A 17,183-nucleotide genomic window follows, 5' to 3' on the forward strand; every position below is an offset into this window, starting at 1 on the left:
GGCTAAGTGAATGGCCTGACGTCCCAATGACTCAGGCCCCCTGGATCCAAACCTGGATTCCTTTCCCTCAGCTGAGCTGCTTCATACCACAAAAAATGAAAAGAAAGTTCTCAAAGTCTGGTATGTGCATCCAGGATTGGCTTGGGGAAAACTGACAGGGGAGGTCCCCCCATACCACCAGTAAACCTGCCCTGTCGCCTCCCTGTCCAAGCCCAAGCTGCTGGGGAGAACCTGGAAGCTCAAAGGACCCTGCAGAATGCAGATAACCAATTCAGTCCTACCCCAGTCAGATGAGACAGAAAGTGCCTCCTAAGGGGACAGAAATTCACTCACATCAATGCACCTGGCTGACTAAAGTCTTAATGGGTCTCTCCCCCAGAGAAATGGTCTTTAAGGTAATACCCTCACTCAAGGGGGAAAAACAGAAAAAAACAGAATAGGAGGTCCTCAGGCAGAAGGAATGGCAAGCCATTTGGGGGAAGAGCCCTTCTTGGGGTCTCCTTACTTCTATCCAAAGTATTTAGAACAAAGTCATGGAGGAAAAAAACCTAAATACTCCAAGAGCTCTCTAAACCTACATCTCAGGCCAAAGCACCCTTTCCAGGGACTCTATACAAGCCAGGAAAGATGTCTCCCAACCCCAAGGAAATTTGAGAGGTGAGAGGGGAGTGATACAGGCCTCTATAGAAAAAACTGGGAGAGAGCACAAATGAAAATGTAGGAAAATAAAGCCAGTGGCTGCTGGATTATAGTTAGTCAAAGGTGTCTGTATTTTCTGGGTCCACTGCGCTCTTAGATGTCTGATCAAGAAGCAGGACTAGGCTGGCTGCAGTGGCTCGTACCTATAATCCCAACAGTTTGGGAAGCTAAGGCAGGAGGATCACTTGAAGCCAGGAGTTCAAGACCAGCCTGGGCAACATAGTGGGACCATGATTCTATTAAAATTTTAAAAATTAGCTGGGTGGGGGCTGGGTGCAGTGGCTCAAGCCTGAAATCCCAGCACTTTAGGAGGCTGAGACAGGTGAATCGCCTGAGGTCAGGAGTTCGAGATGATCCTGGCCAACATGGTGAAACCCCGTCTCTACTAAAAATACAAAAATTGGCTGGGTGTGGTGGGGGGTGCCTGTAATCCCAGCTACTTGGGAGGCTGAGGCATGAGAATCGTTTGAACCAGGGAGGCAGAAGTTGCAGTGAGCAGAGATCGTGCCACTGTACTCCAGCCTGGGTGACAGAAGGAGACTCTTGTCTCAAAAAAAAAAAAAAAAAAAAAAATTAGCTGGGCATGGTGGCATGCACCTGTAGTCTCAGCTACATTGGAGGCTGATGCAGGATCATTTGAGCCCAGGAGTTGGAGGTTACAGTGAGCTATGATCTCACTACTGTACTCCAGCCTGGGCAATAGAGCAAGACCCTGTCTCAAAAAAAGCAGGACAGGCCGGGTGCAGTGGCTCACGCCTGCAATCCCAGCACTCTGGGAGGCCAAGGTGGGTGGATCATCTGAGGTCAGGAGTTTGAGAACAGCCTGGCCAACACGGTGAAACCTCATCTCTACTAAAAATACAAAAATTAGCCAGGCATAGTGGCAGGCGCCTGTAGTTCCAGCTACTCGGGAGGCTGAGGCAGGAGAATCACTTGAATCCAGGAGGTAGAGGTTGCAGTAAGCCAAGATCGCGCCACTGCACTCCAGCCTAGGCAACAGAGGGACTCTGTCTCAAAAAAAAAAAAGCAGAACTGACAATAATAAAACCGTACTAATTCTGACCATGTGCTTATCAGCCTTAAATAGCATGTTATACAGCCCCTATAAAGCAAAAGAATAAAGATATTTATCTTCCATGCATGCAGAAATGGGATCACCACAGCTGGGGCAAGAGGGTGAGGAGGGAAGAAACTGGGAGGTCAGCAATGGAAAATCCACGGAAACAGCAGTTTACTCGTTCATGAAGGACACTGAACAATGTGCCGATAGTGATGCGCTCGTACACAAGGCGGGTTTTCTCTAGGTCCTGGGAGAGACACACAGCCATCAACTGTAGCAAGTAGGGGTGCCGCAGCTTGCTGCAAAAGAAAAGAAGCTTCAGATAAGGCAGGTGAGAGGAGGATATGATGAAAAAATGAGCGTAGGCCTTTTGAACACATTCTAAACAAATACCATTTGTATACGATGTTTTCTTTTCTTTTCTTTTTTTTTTGACACAGAGTCTCACTGTATTGCCCAGTCTGGAGTGCAGTGGGGTGATCTCTCGGCTGGCTCACTGCAACCTCCGCCTCCTGGGTTGAAGCGATTCTACTGCCTCAGGCTTCCAAGTAGCTGGGATTACGGATGCCCACCACCACTTGCAGCTAATTTTTGTATTTCTAGTAGAGATGGGGTTTCACCATGTTGGCCAGGCTGGTCTTGAATTCCTGACCTCAGGTGATCCACCCGCCTTGGCCTCCCAAAGTGCTGGGATTACAGGCGTGAGCCATTGGGCGTGGCCTTTTGTATACAATGTTTTCTAAGAAAACAGGATGAGGTGTTGGTGAGGGTTTCTGTTGGAATCTGTGGCCCTAACTGATGAGACCTTGAGAGCTTAGAGCCATCAATGACAACAATGACAATGTGGCCAAGAGCTCCTGTATTCTTTGCATACATCGTCTCAGATCCTAACAACCACCTGCAAGAAATGTATCATTATACTCATTTTATAGATGAGGAGACCAACATCAAGGAAATGTCAGGGCCTGGTGCAGTGGCTCACGTCTGTAATCCCAGCACTTTGGGAGGCCAAGGTGGGCAGATCACTTGAAATCAGGAGTTTGAGGCCAGCCTGGCCAAGATGATGAAACCCTGTCTCTACTGAAAATACAAAAGTTAGCCAGGTGTAGTGGCGCACGCCAGTAGTCCCAGCTACTCAGGAGGCTGAGGCCTGGGAATCGCTTGAGCCCAGGAGGTGGAGGTTGCAGTGAGCCTAGATGGTGCCACTGCACTCCAGCCTGGGCAACAGAGCGAGACTCAATCCTACCCTCCCCGCAAAAAAAATAGGAAGAAATATGTCAGGAATTCACCTAAGGTTGCATGCCCAACTCAGTCTCATGTCAAAGTCTATGTTGCCCAGGCTCCTTCTTTCAGCTTCCTTTGGTCCCTTCAAGCCGACTTCCACAAAAAGAAGAATGTGGCCTCTCTACATGCCTCCTGCAGAAGTTGAGGAGCCTTCTTAGGAGAGAGCTCGATAAGCCTGGGTCCACTGAATGAATGAATCAAGAACCTGTCCTAGCAAGAGCAGAAGGACTTAACTCTGGAGCCATAGGAACCCTAAGGTCTGGAGATCCATGAGCCTGTCCTCAATGGCACAGACATGTCCTCAGACATCTGGATCTTAAGCAAGCCATGCTCTATGAAAACAGGATAGCCACATGCCGTCCTGATGGGCACAGGGCCCAAAGTGGGTGGACTCAGGGATTGTAGCATGAGAATCAGAAGGGCCTGCATGGAGGCTGCAGCATTCAGAGACATGGGTTACAGGGCGGCTGACAGCTGACAGAGCCCCTCACCACCACTGTCCCCACTGCTCAGGCTACTCGTTAACTTCTCTTCCTCTTTCCTGGCAGCCCTTCGAAGTCAAGTCAATCAATTTCAACAGTCAGGAAATGCTGAGACTGAGAGCAGCTGGAGCTCCCTATCCCAGGCACAGAGCTGAATAGCCCAGAACCTGAGTCTGTAGAGAGACCTGGACCTATAAGGGGCCTTGGGCTTCCTTCTCACCTGCTGTGTTCCTGCTCGGCAATTAACAAGTCGGCCAGCCGCAGCCTGCTGCAGTGTGGGTGGGTGGGGAGATTCAGCTCTTTCACTGTGACCCTGCTCCCATTCCACACTAGGCTACAAGGACAGGAAAGAGTTTCAGCAGAAAGGAGTGAGCAGCCACTTACTCCTTCAATGAATAAGCTTTCCTAAGCAAGGACCAGAGAAATGGTCTCCACACAGAACCTGCAATGCCCACTGGGCACTACTGGGTCCTCTCTCCCACTACCCACCCCCAGGTACTAAAGCACCCTGGAGAACTTAGGTATAGGTGGTGGGAAGTCACTGAATGCAAGGGAGAGAGTGACTTGATCAGGTTTGTATTCAAAAACACAACGTTACCGGCAATGTGGGGAATGGGTAGGGGAGGGGTGGTCCAGAGAATGGGAAGCCAGTTAGGAGACCACCCCAGGTGAGGGATGGTGAAGACTTGGGCAAAGGCAGCAGCAATAAAACAGCTTCTATAGGGGCCTCATTACCCTTGACCTGTATCAGAGGCAAGACAGTCACTACCAAGCTGCCTCTAATTCTTCAGAGAGCAGAGACATTAAAGTATTGTAATGAGTAATCTTTCAGAGCAGTGGTTCTCCCCCAGAAACCTATGGCAATGTCTGTAAGACAGTTTGGTTGTCACAGCTGTGGGGGCTGTAAGGGACTGCAACTGGCACTAGTGGGTAGAGACCAGGGACTTCTAAACATTCTACAATGCACAGGACTACTCCCAACAACAAAGGATCATCTGGCCAAAAATGGTAATAGTGTCCTGGCTGAGAAACCCTGATTTAGACAGATGTTCTTAGGTGTTCCCTGTGTTTGAGTAGAAACTCCCCACACATAAGGAAGTCACATGCAGCCCACTCTTCCCCTGAAACTGAATCAGACCTCAAACTGGCCAGCCCCCACTTACTTGGTCATGACCATGTAGGGGCCGCTGAAGAAAGAGAAGGTGGGCTCATCATCAGCTTGAATCACTTCCTTTTCTCCAATGACCGGAAGAGATCCTAGATAGGCCATCTGTGTCGCCCCAGTAAGATAAAACTGAAACCAAGGCATAGCCTCAAATTATGGGGAGAAGGGGGGAAAAGCAGAATACATCCAGAATCTTATCAGCCAGCTAAAAGAATGAGAGCTGCTATTTATCAACTTTCTGAATACCCCTATGCACTGGGCCTTTTTTTTTTTTTGAGACAGGGTATCACTGTCACTCAGGCTGGAGCATATGACATGATCTTGGCTCACTGCAGCCTGGACCTCCTGGGCTCAAGCGATCCTCCCACTCCACCCTCCCAAGTAGCTGGGATTACAAGCATGCACCACCACACCTGGCTAATTTTTTTTTTAAATAGAGACGGGCTTTTGCCATGTTGGCTGGTGTCAAAGTCCTGGGCTCAAGTGATCCACCCACCTTGGTCTCCCAAAGTGCTAAGATTATAGGCGTGAGCCACCAGGCCTCACCACAACTCTTTATATTATCTTTAATCTTTCTAAAAACCTTTCAAGGTTTTATTATTTCCCTTTTGTTCTTTTCCCTGAAGAAACTGAGGCTCATGGAAAGAAGTCAGATGCCTCAAGTGCCATTGCTGGGACTGAGAAGCCCATTGTGGTCCCCACAGCACCCAGGATTGTGTGCGGCCAAATCTGATATTCCTCCTCTCCCTCCCCACCAGGCTGCCTCAACACAACAAACAGAACGGGGAGTAGGGCTGGGCGAGTTGGCTCACGCCTGTAATCCCAGCACTTTGAGAGGTCAAGGCGGGTGGACCGATTGAGTCCAGAAGATGGAGACCAGCCTGGGCAACATGGCGAAATCCCATCTCTACTAAAAATACAAGTAACCAGGCATGGTGGCACACACCTGTGATCCCAGCTACTTGGAAGGCTGAGGCATCAGAATTGCTTGAACCCAGTAGGCAGAGGTTGCAGCAGTGAGCCAAGATCGCGCCACTGCACTCCAGCCTGGGCAACAGAGCCAGACTCTGTCTCAAAAAAATAATAATTAAAAATTAAAAACTAAAAATTAATTAATGAAAAGATCATTTTCTAAACTCAAGTGTAGCCCAGGGTCATCCAAGGGAATTCTCTGGGGTTTTCACAAATTTGTTAGTAAGACAGGAACACTAAGAGATACCTTTCCCTCAATAGGGGCAAAAAAGAAAAGAACAACACTTTGGTGAGGATAAGGAGGCAGGAGTTGGACAAAGGTGGGAGATGGGGCCCGATGATTCTCCAGTTAGTCCTGCAAACACTGGCTGTCAGTGGCAACCTCTTACCTTCCCAAAACCAAAGCTGTAGATATTTTGAGCAGAAATGACTCCAGCTTTAAGCAGTCGGTTAGGAGAGCCATTAGGGTTTCTAGAAATATTTAAAACAGGAAAAAAACCTCAGAATTAACCACTCATATCCAGAATAATAATGCTGAACCAAGTTTTCAGAAGGTGTAGTTGACTTTGTCTTTACTGCTAGACTTTCTGTTACAAAACTAGAGATGATGTAACAGCCAGCCTCTGAGAGGGCCTCTATGATTCTCACTTACCGGTATGCATAACCTTGTGTAGCCCCTCACAGGTCACATGGGGCTGACCTGTTAACTCATTTTTGACTGTTAACAGTGCAAAACAGTGATAGTCTCTCACTTTGAGGCTAAATCTACCAAGGCGTCAGCCCTGATCTCTCTTGGATCATTTGCTCTGCCAGCTGCCATGATATGAGGACATTCAAGCAGCCCTGGGGGAGGCTCAATGCCCAGCACCAATTTGCCAGCCACGTAAGCGAGCCATCTTGGAACTGAATTGTCCATCTTCAGTCAAGCCTTCAGATGAATACAGCCCTAACTAACATCTTAACTGCAACTTCATTAGAAACTCTGAGCCAGAACAACCTAGTTAAACCATTCCCTGATTCCTGACCCACAGAAATTGTGTGAGATAAAAATTTTATTGTTTGAGGCTGCTAAGTTTGGGGGGTGATTCATTATGCAGCAATAGATAACAAATACAGATGGTCAGAGTTGGAAATAACCATAAGCACATCTTGTCCAGTTTTTTCATTATATAGGCAAAAAAATGAAGCCCAGGAAAAGGAAACTTGCTGGCCTGAGGTCATAAAATGCAGCAGTGACCAGACACTGATGTTGCTCATTCCAGCCACTGTTCTTCCCACATTCCACACTCAAACTACCACTTGTGCATCAGGGTCCCCCTTCACTGAAGGTGTCTTGGAAGAAGGGGTGATGCCTCGTATTTCTTTGGCTCCCAGAACCTGGCATGGTGCCATGCAGTAGGTGCTCAGTTAATGCTTGCCAGTTGAGTACTTTCAGCTCAGACTGAAGGAAAAAAGATCCTACTGCCACCAGAGGCACTTTCCTTTTCTTGGCAAATGGCAAAGGAGCTGGGAGACGGTGCATACTCAGGGCCAGCCCTACCTCAGGTCTGTGAGGCCCCACATGCCACTATTAGAGAACAGATGTAAGTGCTTTACTTCTTTTCTATTTCCTCAGCAACTCATCAGTGCCAAGCTGTCCCGTCTCTGCTTTAAGCTGCTATGCTATTGAGGAGAAGACTCTGATGTTTAGACTGAGATAAACTGAGCATCCCAATTTACACCTGGTATCTTAGCACCATTATTGATAGTTTCCCTTTCACTCTCGAAACAGCCAACAGATAATCAGCTATATGGTCACTCTCACTTGAGTAAACAGACCATAAGAAAAAGGCCACTTTTCAACACCAAATCATCAGTCTCTTCTTAAAATAAGGCTTATGTGCTTAGGCCTCAAAAGATCTAGGAGACAGTGGACCGTTTCTTGCCCAGGGGAACAGACCTTGTGCTGACAGTGAGGGTGTCAGCCTCTAGCAGCAGTGGAACTGGGGGTTACCAGTGACGAGGCCTCCTGCCTTCCACTCTGGGGCCTCTGGGCAGTACATGGCTCTTTGGAGGGGAGAGTTCTTTCTAAGCAAAAGAGCCGAGTGTTCTCAAACAGTGACCTGGACAACTGCAGTTCAGACCAACATTTCCTGCTCTCTTACCTAAATTTCTCAGCACACATCTATATAACTCGGCTGGGTTAAGGGGAGAAAAAAACTAACTCTAGTCATCTACAGCCATCTGTCCTCAACTCAGTGCTTTTCTTCTTTCCCCAGTCCAAGCTCTGTGCAAACACACGTGTGAGGAATCTTATCTGACACGGCACCACTCACAAATCTTAGAGGCTAACTCTAATTTCAAGAATTTGTGTGGTTTTTTACATTAAGAGGAGGGGGGGCGGGCACGGTGGCTCACGCCTGTAATCCCAGCATTTCAGGAGGCAGAGGCAGGCGGATCACCTGAGGTCAGGAATTCCAGACTAGCCTGGCCACGGTGAAACCCCATCTCTACTAAAAATATAAAATTAGCCAGGTGTGCTAATTTTATAGTAATCCCAGCTACTAAGGAGGCTGAGGCAGGAGAATTGCTTGAACCCAGGAGACAGAGGTTGTGGTGAGCCGAGATTGCACGGACTCCTGCCTGGGCGACAGAGAAGACTCAGTCTCAAAAAAAAAAAAAAAAAAAAGGTGGGGGAAGAGGAGTGTATTTCCATGTAAGCATTCCATTAACCCCGTAAGAATGTTTCCTCTAATTCTAAACTAAATGCTGTATCTAGATGAGTAACTAAGATTGTAAAAGCTCATCCACATTTACACTTGGGTTTTCCTTTCAGGCTCACTCATGAGCCTCCTCTCCTTGTACAGAGCCCTACCATGCACCAAGCAGCTAAGGGTTAGTAGCAATGAATAGGATAGACACAGCCCCTGAGCTCTTGGAATTCACAATTTAATTGGAAAACTGGAGAAGAACATATACAAATAAAATAATTGCAAACTATGACAATTCTCTAAACTCTGAAGGACGGGTCTCCATACAAGCGCCAGGGGCAGAGGCAGGAGATGAAGGGGGAGGGCTTGGATGAGGCAGGGTCTCCAAGGCCGGATAAGGGATTTCTAAACCTATCCTAATAGCCATGGGGAAGGTCCTTAAGGAGTTTTAGCAGAGTGGTACAACCTGATTTCCATTATTTTAGTTTTATTTGATTACTTTATTTTTTGAGACAGGATCTCGCTCTGTCACCCAGTTTGGAGTGCAGTTGCATGATCTTGGCTTGCTGCAACCTCCACCTCCCAGATTCAAGTGATCCTCTCACCTCAGCCTCCAGAGTAGCTGGAACTATGAGGAGCACACCAACACACTCGGCTAATATTTTTTTTTTTTGAGACAGTGTGTTGCTCTGTCACCCAGGCTGGAGTGCAGTGGTGCGATCTCGGCTCACTGCAACCTCCGCCTCCTGGGTTCAAGTGATTCGCCTGCCTCAGCCTCCTGAGTAGCTGGGATTACAGGTGCATGCCACCACACCCGGCTAATTTTTGTATTTTTAGTAGAGACGGGGGTTTCACCATGTTGGCCAGGCTGGTCTCGAACTCCTGACCTCAGGTGATCCACCCACCTCAACCTCCAAAAGTGATTACAGGTGTGAGCCACTGTACCCAGCCACCTGATTTCCATTTTTAAAAGGTCATTCTGGATGCTGAGCAAAGAGCCAAAACTGGCCAGAGTGGCACGCAGCACAGCCGTTAGGAGTTAACGGAATCATGAACTCATCTCGCCTGAGAAGCCAGCAGCATCCAATCATCAGAGGAAAGCCAGGACTCAAAGTGCATGAATGACAGGACAAGGAAGCCTGCAAAAGTGTGGTGAGCCCAGCTACCCTGCTTACAGAAAGAGATGCCATCAGAGGAAAGCCAAATGGGAAGGATTCTCTACATACAAACCCTAAGTCAACCAATCCCAGAGAAGTTAAAATGACACTCCTCCCTTCCAAGCTTAACCCTGAGCATGGAGAAAAGCATGGAGCCCACCTCCTGCAGCTGTGATGGGAGAAGAGGGGGCTGCCCATCCAGCTGGCAGCAAGTCTCTCGTATCAGCTGAAAATAGCCCAAGAAACCGTAAGTTAAGCATTTGTGGTCTTTTGCAACCTTAGTAATAAAGGAACACTCTTTCTGTGGTTCAGGAGATGACAAAAAAGCCAGCCAGGTGTCCTGCTGGGTAAGGGTTTTCTGCTGGGCTCCTCAGACCTGAGATGTTCTCCTTCTGCTAACCACAGGGTGGTTTCCATCAGAGCCCACACTCATTCCTCTCACACCTTCTCAGGGAGAGGAGAGAGAGGGCGAAAGGTGATCCTCTGGCCTTCCTTCATCAAGGCCAAGCCTTTTCTTTCCAAGCACACCCCTTTGGATGGGCCAGATGCCAGAGGGCACTGATGTGGAGGAGCTGAGGCAACCCATGCTGCAGGGCTCCCACGAGGAAGGCTGGGTGATGGAGACTATCCCACTCTGCTCAAGGCAGTACTCACCCCTGCACGAGGCCCCCACACCAGGACGGGCTGTAGACAAGCCGCTGCGGGGAGTCTATCTTCTTCAGGAGGTCGTAAGAGAAGCCCTGGATGATGGCCTGCATGTGTGAGGCACAGCGCTGCATGAACTCCACTATCTGCAAAACATCGCAGAGATGCCCAGTGCGGGCGCACCAGTTCTCAATGGAATGGAAGCTTGGGTATGAAGATAAGTGGTCCGAGGAGCTGAGAGCCCCCAACAGAAAAACCTCTCAAAAGGAAAGGGCCCAGGTGATTTTCTAAAGGTATGGAATGTTTTCAGGGAGAGGCTTTAGGGAAACAATTTCCTCCAACTCCCTCCTTCAACAGATGAGGAAACCAAGGCCAAGACGAGTAAAATTTGCTGGTCCAAGGCCCAACAGCTTTAATAAGCAGGAGCCCCAGAAAGGAGACTGCACACAGAGGGGCCTGGCACTGTACCTGCCCTTTGAGTTTTACATTTATGTTATTTAGTCTTCATTAAAACACATCACACCAGCTGGGTGCAGTGGCTCATGCCTGTAATTCCAGCACTTTGGGAGGCCAAGGTGGGCGAATCACCTGAGTCAGGAGTTCGAGACCAGCCTGGCCAACATGGAGAAACCCCGTCTTTACTCAAAATACAAAAGTTAGCTGAGTGTGGTGGTGCATGCTTGTAATCCGAGCTACTCAGGAGGCTGAGGCAGGAGAATTGCTTGAACCCAGGAGGCGGAGGTTGCAGTGAGCTGAGCTCGCGCCACTGCACTCCAGCCTGGGCAAGACTCCTTCCCAAAAAAAAAAAAAAAATTCCCACCTGCCAAACAAAGTTACTTAATGTCAGTGGGCCTCAGTTTCCCCACCTGTACAATAAGGACATTAATAGTACTTACCTGAGAGGTTGTTGTGAAGATTGAGTTAATATATAAAAAACATTTAAAACAACATCTGAGTCATGGTAAGTGCTAGTTAAATGGGTCAGACAAAATTACAGTTGTTTGCCTTTCCCATCGAATACGATGAGTAGAAAGGTTCACTAGACCTGCCGGAAGTTTCGCAGCTGGCTAATTTGCTTCGATCCAAGCCTGAGACTCCAGTACCAATACTAAGGCCACTGTACGCTCTGTGCTGACCACTGGGAGCCTGACTCTCAGCCCAGTACTCTTCTAGTGGGCATGGCTACAGAGTGGGACCCACCCTTACCTGGGTGCTACGCTCCTTTCCTGCTGTCAAAGCCCAAGTCTTCGGGTTTTGACCCCTCTCATCGTGGAGTCGCAGGTCACCTCCTGCATCCAGCAGTTTGCTAAGGATCCACTGATTGCCCGAAAATGCTGCTGCATGGACAGGGGTGCTCCCATCAAAGCAGCGGCTGGGGAGGGAGATGAGTACAATTGATGTCCATGGCAATGCTCCTGCATTCCATGGAGCGGGGCTCAGCGTGCAACACAGGGCTCCCATTCTACAAGGCAACGTTGGTGACGAGGAATATAACAACATCATTTGTGAGGCCCCTGTCTGTGCCCACAGGAACTTTCTGTACACACACACACACACACACACACACACACAATCCCTTTTTTTCCCTCCTTCACTCAACCCTTCAAGGAAGTATCATTTCCCAATTTACAGATGAGGAAACAAAACGGCAAAGCTGAGGTTCATTCCCAGGCATAGATCTGGTTCCAAATCCAATTTTCTTTCCCCAGCACTCTGATATTGGCTGCCCAGAAACAATGTCTTCACACCTGCAGTGTCCTGGGATCAGGCTAGTCAAGCACAGCCTAACAAGGCGCCACCTCTCTCGTTTGAGAATGTCTCCCCACAGCCCCCCAAGAAAATCCTGTGGTAGAGCACAAAACCTTGGCATCAGCAATGCAGTCAAGGATCTACACCTCAGAAAAATTTCACCTCAGAAAAATTTCAACAAAGCCAGTAAACTGTCTGAGACATGAAGGGACAGCCTTTAATGTGTCCAGGATATGGTGAGGATATGATGTATAGCCTTAGTTTCCTAACCTGGCTACACATCAGAATCACCAGGGAACTTTCTCTCTTTAACTGAAAAAGAAACACAAATAGGAGGAGGAGGAAGGGAAAAAAAAGAAGAAGAAAGAAGGAGAAGAAGGAGGAGGAGGAGAAGAAGGAGAAGATGAAGAAGAGGAGGAGGGGGAGGGAAGGGGAGGGGGAGGCAGAGGAGGAGGAGGAGAAAGAAAAGGATGATGAAGAGAAGATAAGAAAAAAGTCATCCAACTCCAGACACCCAGTTCTCTTACCAAGATGCAATTACTATTACAAGTTTTTGTATCCTTCTGGAAATGTTCTATGTATATACAAGTATAAATAAGAATACACTAAACAGGCCGGGTGTGGTGGCTCACGCCTGTAATCCCAGCACTTTGGGAGGCCGAGGCGGGCAGATCACGAGGTCAGGAGATCGAGGCCATCCTGGCTAACGCGGTGAAACCCTGTGTCTACTAAAAATACAAAAAAATTAGCCGGGCGTAGGTGGTGCATACCTGTAGTCCCAGCTACTCGGGAGGCTGAGGCTAAGAATGGCGTAATGGCATAAAACCCGGGAGGCAGAGCTTGCAGTGAGCCGAGATCATGCCACTGCACTCCAGCCTGGGAGACAGAGCGAGACTCTGAATACACTATACAAACTCTTCTGTATCTACATATTTTCTTTTCTTTTCTTTTCTTTTTTTTTTTTTTTTGAGACGGAGTTTTGCTCTTGTCACCCAGGCTAGAGTGCAATGGTGTGATCTCGGCTCACTGCAACCTCCGCCTCCTAGGCTCAAGTGGTTCTTCTGCCTCAGCCTCCTGAGTAGCTGGGATTATAGGTGCCCGCCACCCATGCCCAGTTAATTTTTGTATTTTTAGTGGAGACAGGGTTTCACCATGTTGGCCAGGCTGGTCTCGAACTCCTGACCTCCGGTGATCTACCCACCTCAGCCTCCCAAAGTGCTGGGATTACAAGAGTGAGCCACCGCGCCCAGCCTTCATATTTTCATTTAAGAATCTATCTTGGAGAAATTTCCATATGAGAAACTACAAGCCATCGCTTCTTGGCCTTTTGGCTAAGATCAAGTGAGAAACTACAAGCCATCTCCATTCTTTTTAACAGCTACATAGTATGCCAATGAATGGGTGTATCATAATTTAGTTAATAATCCACTGGGATATCTGTCAAAAGCACAGATTCTCAGACTACACCTTACACTGACTGAAACAAAATCTGCAAGCACAGGACCCAGGAATGTGGTTTGGTTTGGTTTTGTTTTTCAAATTCCCCTGGTGATACTAAAGAGGCTGGCCTGCACACAGGCTTATAGGAACCACTGATCCCATTGGTTCTCACTGTAGGCTCTCTCCCACTGCTGGGCAGAGAAGCAGTCCAGCACACTGCATCGTGGGAATCACAATATCCTCCTTGCTGCAAAAACAGCTTTGTATAATGTCTTACCATCTTCTTTTTTGTTTTTTGGGTTTTTTTTTTTTCTTTTTTTGAGACGAAGTCTCGCTCTTGTCCCCCAGGCTGCAGTACAATGGTGCAATCTCGACTCACTGCAACCTCTGCCTCTCGTGTTCAAGAGATTCTCCTGCCTCAGCCTCCCGAGTAGCTGGAATTACAGGCACCTGCCACCATGCGCTCAGGTAACTTTTGTATTTTTAGTAGAGACGAAGTTTCATCATGTTGGCCAGGCTGGTCTCAAATTCCTGACCTCAGGTGATCTGCCCGCCTCATCCTCCCAAAGTGCTGGGATTACAGGCATGAGCCACTGTGCCCAGCCTGTCTTACCATCTTCTAATCATTCCTCCCACAAACAGTAAGAAAGCTGGGTTAGGACACAGATGATATTATTTCTCATTTCTCATGAATGCTAAGGAGGAAAGGAATAATGATTTATACCCAGCTAAGCTTACAAGAGGATCCAGGTCCACCTGGTATCAAAATGTGTACTATCATATTTATTTATTGTAAAGCCTAAAAACTGGAGTCTCTGCCTAGCCAACTCAGAAGTTTATTTTATTTGGTACACACAGTGTTCAAAAAAATTGAAATAGTTGGCAATATTTAACATTTGGGAGCTTTCATTTATTTGTTTATTTATTTTGAGACAGAGTCTCTGTCTGCCACCCAGGCTGGAGTGCAGTGGCACAATCTTGGCTCACTGCAACCTCCGCCTCCTGGGTTGAAGATATTCTCCTGCCTGAGCCTCCTGAGTAGCTGGGACTACAGGCGCCCGCCACCATGGCTGGCTAATTTTTTTTTTTTTTTAATTTTTAGTAGAGACGGGGTTTCACCATGTTGACAAGGATGGTCTCGATCTCCTGACCTCATGATCCACCCACCCTGGACTTCCAAAGTGCTGGGATTACAGGCGTGAGCCACTGTGCCCGGCAACATTTGGGAGATTTCAAATTAAAAACTGGGATTTCCGGCTCTTGGAAATTCGGAAGATCTGGCTTTCCTGGCTCCCTTTCCTGCCCCCCTTTCCTGCCCAACAGCAATAGATCCCTGACCCTCCTCAGAGAAAACCTAAACCCAGTTACTTGGTCCAGTAGGCATCTGATTTGTGACTTCAATAGGTCCAGTCCATCACAGCGTTTCCACTGAGCGTATAGGAATAAAGCCTCCTGGCTGGGTGCGGTGGCTCATGCCTGTAATCCTAGCACATCGGGAGGCCGAGGCGGGTGGATCATCTGAGGTCAGGAGTTCGAGACCAGCTTAGCCAACATGGTGAAACCCCGTCTCTACTAAAAATACAAACAAAAATTAGCCGGGCATAGTGGCGTGTGCCTGTAATCCCAGCTACCTGGAAGGCTGAGGCAGGAGAATTGCTGGAACCCTGTAGGCAGAGGCTGCAGTGAGCCAAGACCGTGCCACTGCACTACAGCCTGGGCGACAGGGTGAGACTCCATCTCAAAAAAAAAAAAAAAAAAAAAAAGCCTCCTGGCTGGGTGTGGTAGCTCACACCTAAAATCCCAGCACTTTGAGAGGCTGAGGCAGATGGATCACCTGAGGTCAGGAATTCAAGACCAGCCTGGACAACATGGCAAAACTAAAAATACAAAAATTAGTCAGGTGTGGTGGCACGCGCCTGTAGTCCCAGGTACTCGGGAGGGTGAGGCAGGAGAATCGCTTGAACCCAGGAAGCAGAGGTTGCAGTGAGCCAAGATCGCACCACTGCACTCCACCTGGAAAACAGAGTGAGACTTCATCAAAAACAAAAAAAGGAATAAAGCCTCCTCCCAGAAATTCCCCTTCACCTTGATCAGATAAAAATTTTTTAAAAACTTTTTTTCCCGGTACCTCTATGCAGCCAATCATCAGATATTTTTTAAGTCACATGAAAATGTTCCCAACCAGAAAATACAAAGCCATAGGGGTTTGCCATCCTCTCTTGTTATTGTCCCTTTCCACTTCCTTCCTGGCATTGCCTGGCATTACAAGTGTCCTTCCTGGACACTTGAAAAAGGGAACTTCTTTAAACTCTGAGGTCTTCAGAAGCTGGGCTCCTTCCTGATCTCAGCTGTGTCATTAATACTATGTACCATATTATGGGCTAGTCTCAATTCCCTGATCTTGAAAATTAAAGGTTTGAATGGTTTGATCTTTAAAGAAATCAGCTTTAAGCCTGGACAAAGCAGTTGTAAATGCAGATGACTATAAAATGTTTCAATTTTTATCTGTATTTTTTTATACAGGCTTTTAAAAAATGGTTTATGTTTACTGAACAGAATTATACTGTCATACAGAATATGAAAGTGATGATGGTCATGACTATATCACTCAAGGCGATGTTTATACACCTTGTTTCAGTAACTAAAAGAAGTGGGAAATGGCCGGGCATGGTGGCTCATGCCTGTAATCTCAGCACTTTGGAAGGCGGAGGCTGGTGGATCACCTGAGGTCAGGAGTTTGAGATCAGCCTGGCCAACAAGGTGAAACCGCATCTCTACTAAAAATACAAAATTAGCCAGCTGTGGTGGTGGGCACCTGTAATCCCAGCTACTCGGGAGGATGAGGCAGGAGAATCGCTTGCACCTGGGAGGCAGAAGTTGCAGTGAGCCAAGATCATGCCACTGCACTCCAGCCTGGGTGACAGAGCAAGACTCTATCTCAAAAAAAAAAAAAAAAAAAAGTGGGAAAAACTGAAGAAAAAAGAAAATGTTGCATTTTTGCTGAAGAACTGCAGACTGTCCCAATATGGCCTCCCTACAACACGGGTATATGCAAACATCAGGTGAGCCAGCCCCCATGCCACCTTTTTTTTTTTTTTTTTTTTTTTTGGGTATAGACAGGGTCTCTGTTGCCCAGGCTAGTCTCAAACTCCTGGGCTCGAGCAATCCTCCCACCTCACCTCCCAAATTGCTGGGATTACAGGTGTGAGCTACTGCATCTGGCTGACCCCTTTCTCTCCGGGCTTTGAAATTAAACAATACGGTAGAGCCAGTAGAGCGTGTGTGAGTCTAGAAAAATTCTGCAAGGAAACACAACAAAATGTTCATTGTTTTAAGTTACCTCTGGTTACTTAATTCTCATACTGATTGGCTTTTTTCTTTGTGCTTTTCTAAGCTTCCAAGTTTTCTTCCCCTAAGCAATTTTATAACCAATCCCTCCACAACACACATACATAAAATACAAAAGCTGCTCGGCACGGTGGCTCACATCTGTAATCCCAGCACTTTGGGAGACTGAGGCGGGCGGACCATGAGGTCAAGAGTTCGAGACCAGCCTGACCAACATAGTGAAACCCTGCCTCTACTAAGAATACAAAAATTAGGCCGGGCGCAGTGGCTCATGCCTGTAATCCCAGCACTTTGGGAGGCTAAGGCGGGCGGATCATGAGGTCAGGAGATGGAGACCATCCTAGCTAACACGGTGAAACCCCATCTCTACTAAAAATATAAAACATTAGCTGGGTGTGGTGGCACGCGCTTGTAGTCCCAGCTACTAGGGAGACTGAGGCAGGAGAATCACTTGAACCTCGGAGGCACAGATTGCAATGAGCCGAGATTGCG

The 17,183-nt window shown here is 47.6% G+C and overlaps 1 protein-coding gene across 3 annotated transcripts in view, besides 2 other annotated features; it reads right to left on the reverse strand.

Annotated features, from left to right (window-relative positions):
- TEX14 (testis expressed 14, intercellular bridge forming factor) overlaps positions 1 to 17,183 on the reverse strand; it is a 135,368-nt gene that overhangs the window by 54,809 nt on the left and 63,376 nt on the right. For 2 of the 3 annotated variants that reach the window (NM_031272.5, NM_198393.4), the window contains exons 4-9: positions 11,361 to 11,526; positions 10,164 to 10,300; positions 6,052 to 6,133; positions 4,689 to 4,819; positions 3,746 to 3,859; positions 1,935 to 2,058 (exon numbers count right to left, since the gene is read on the reverse strand). In NM_031272.5, the coding sequence (NP_112562.3) occupies positions 1,935 to 2,058; positions 3,746 to 3,859; positions 4,689 to 4,819; positions 6,052 to 6,133; positions 10,164 to 10,300; positions 11,361 to 11,526 (754 nt within the window). Of the gene's footprint in view, positions 1 to 1,934; positions 2,059 to 3,745; positions 3,860 to 4,688; positions 4,838 to 6,051; positions 6,134 to 10,163; positions 10,301 to 11,360; positions 11,527 to 17,183 lie in introns of all 3 variants that reach the window. The other variant, NM_001201457.2, reaches the window with a different exon arrangement.
- Positions 6,126 to 6,185: an enhancer, noted in NCBI's record as "active region_12486". NCBI's record gives its function as "activates an Ori minimal core promoter by ATAC-STARR-seq in GM12878 lymphoblastoid cells {active_cell/tissue: GM12878}" and the evidence as "EXISTENCE:reporter gene assay evidence [ECO:0000049][PMID:35858748]".
- Positions 9,961 to 10,270: an enhancer, noted in NCBI's record as "active region_12487". NCBI's record gives its function as "activates an Ori minimal core promoter by ATAC-STARR-seq in GM12878 lymphoblastoid cells {active_cell/tissue: GM12878}" and the evidence as "EXISTENCE:reporter gene assay evidence [ECO:0000049][PMID:35858748]".

This window comes from Homo sapiens, chromosome 17 (genome assembly GCF_000001405.40).
Source record: "Homo sapiens chromosome 17, GRCh38.p14 Primary Assembly".
NCBI classification, from domain to species: domain Eukaryota; kingdom Metazoa; phylum Chordata; class Mammalia; order Primates; family Hominidae; genus Homo; species Homo sapiens.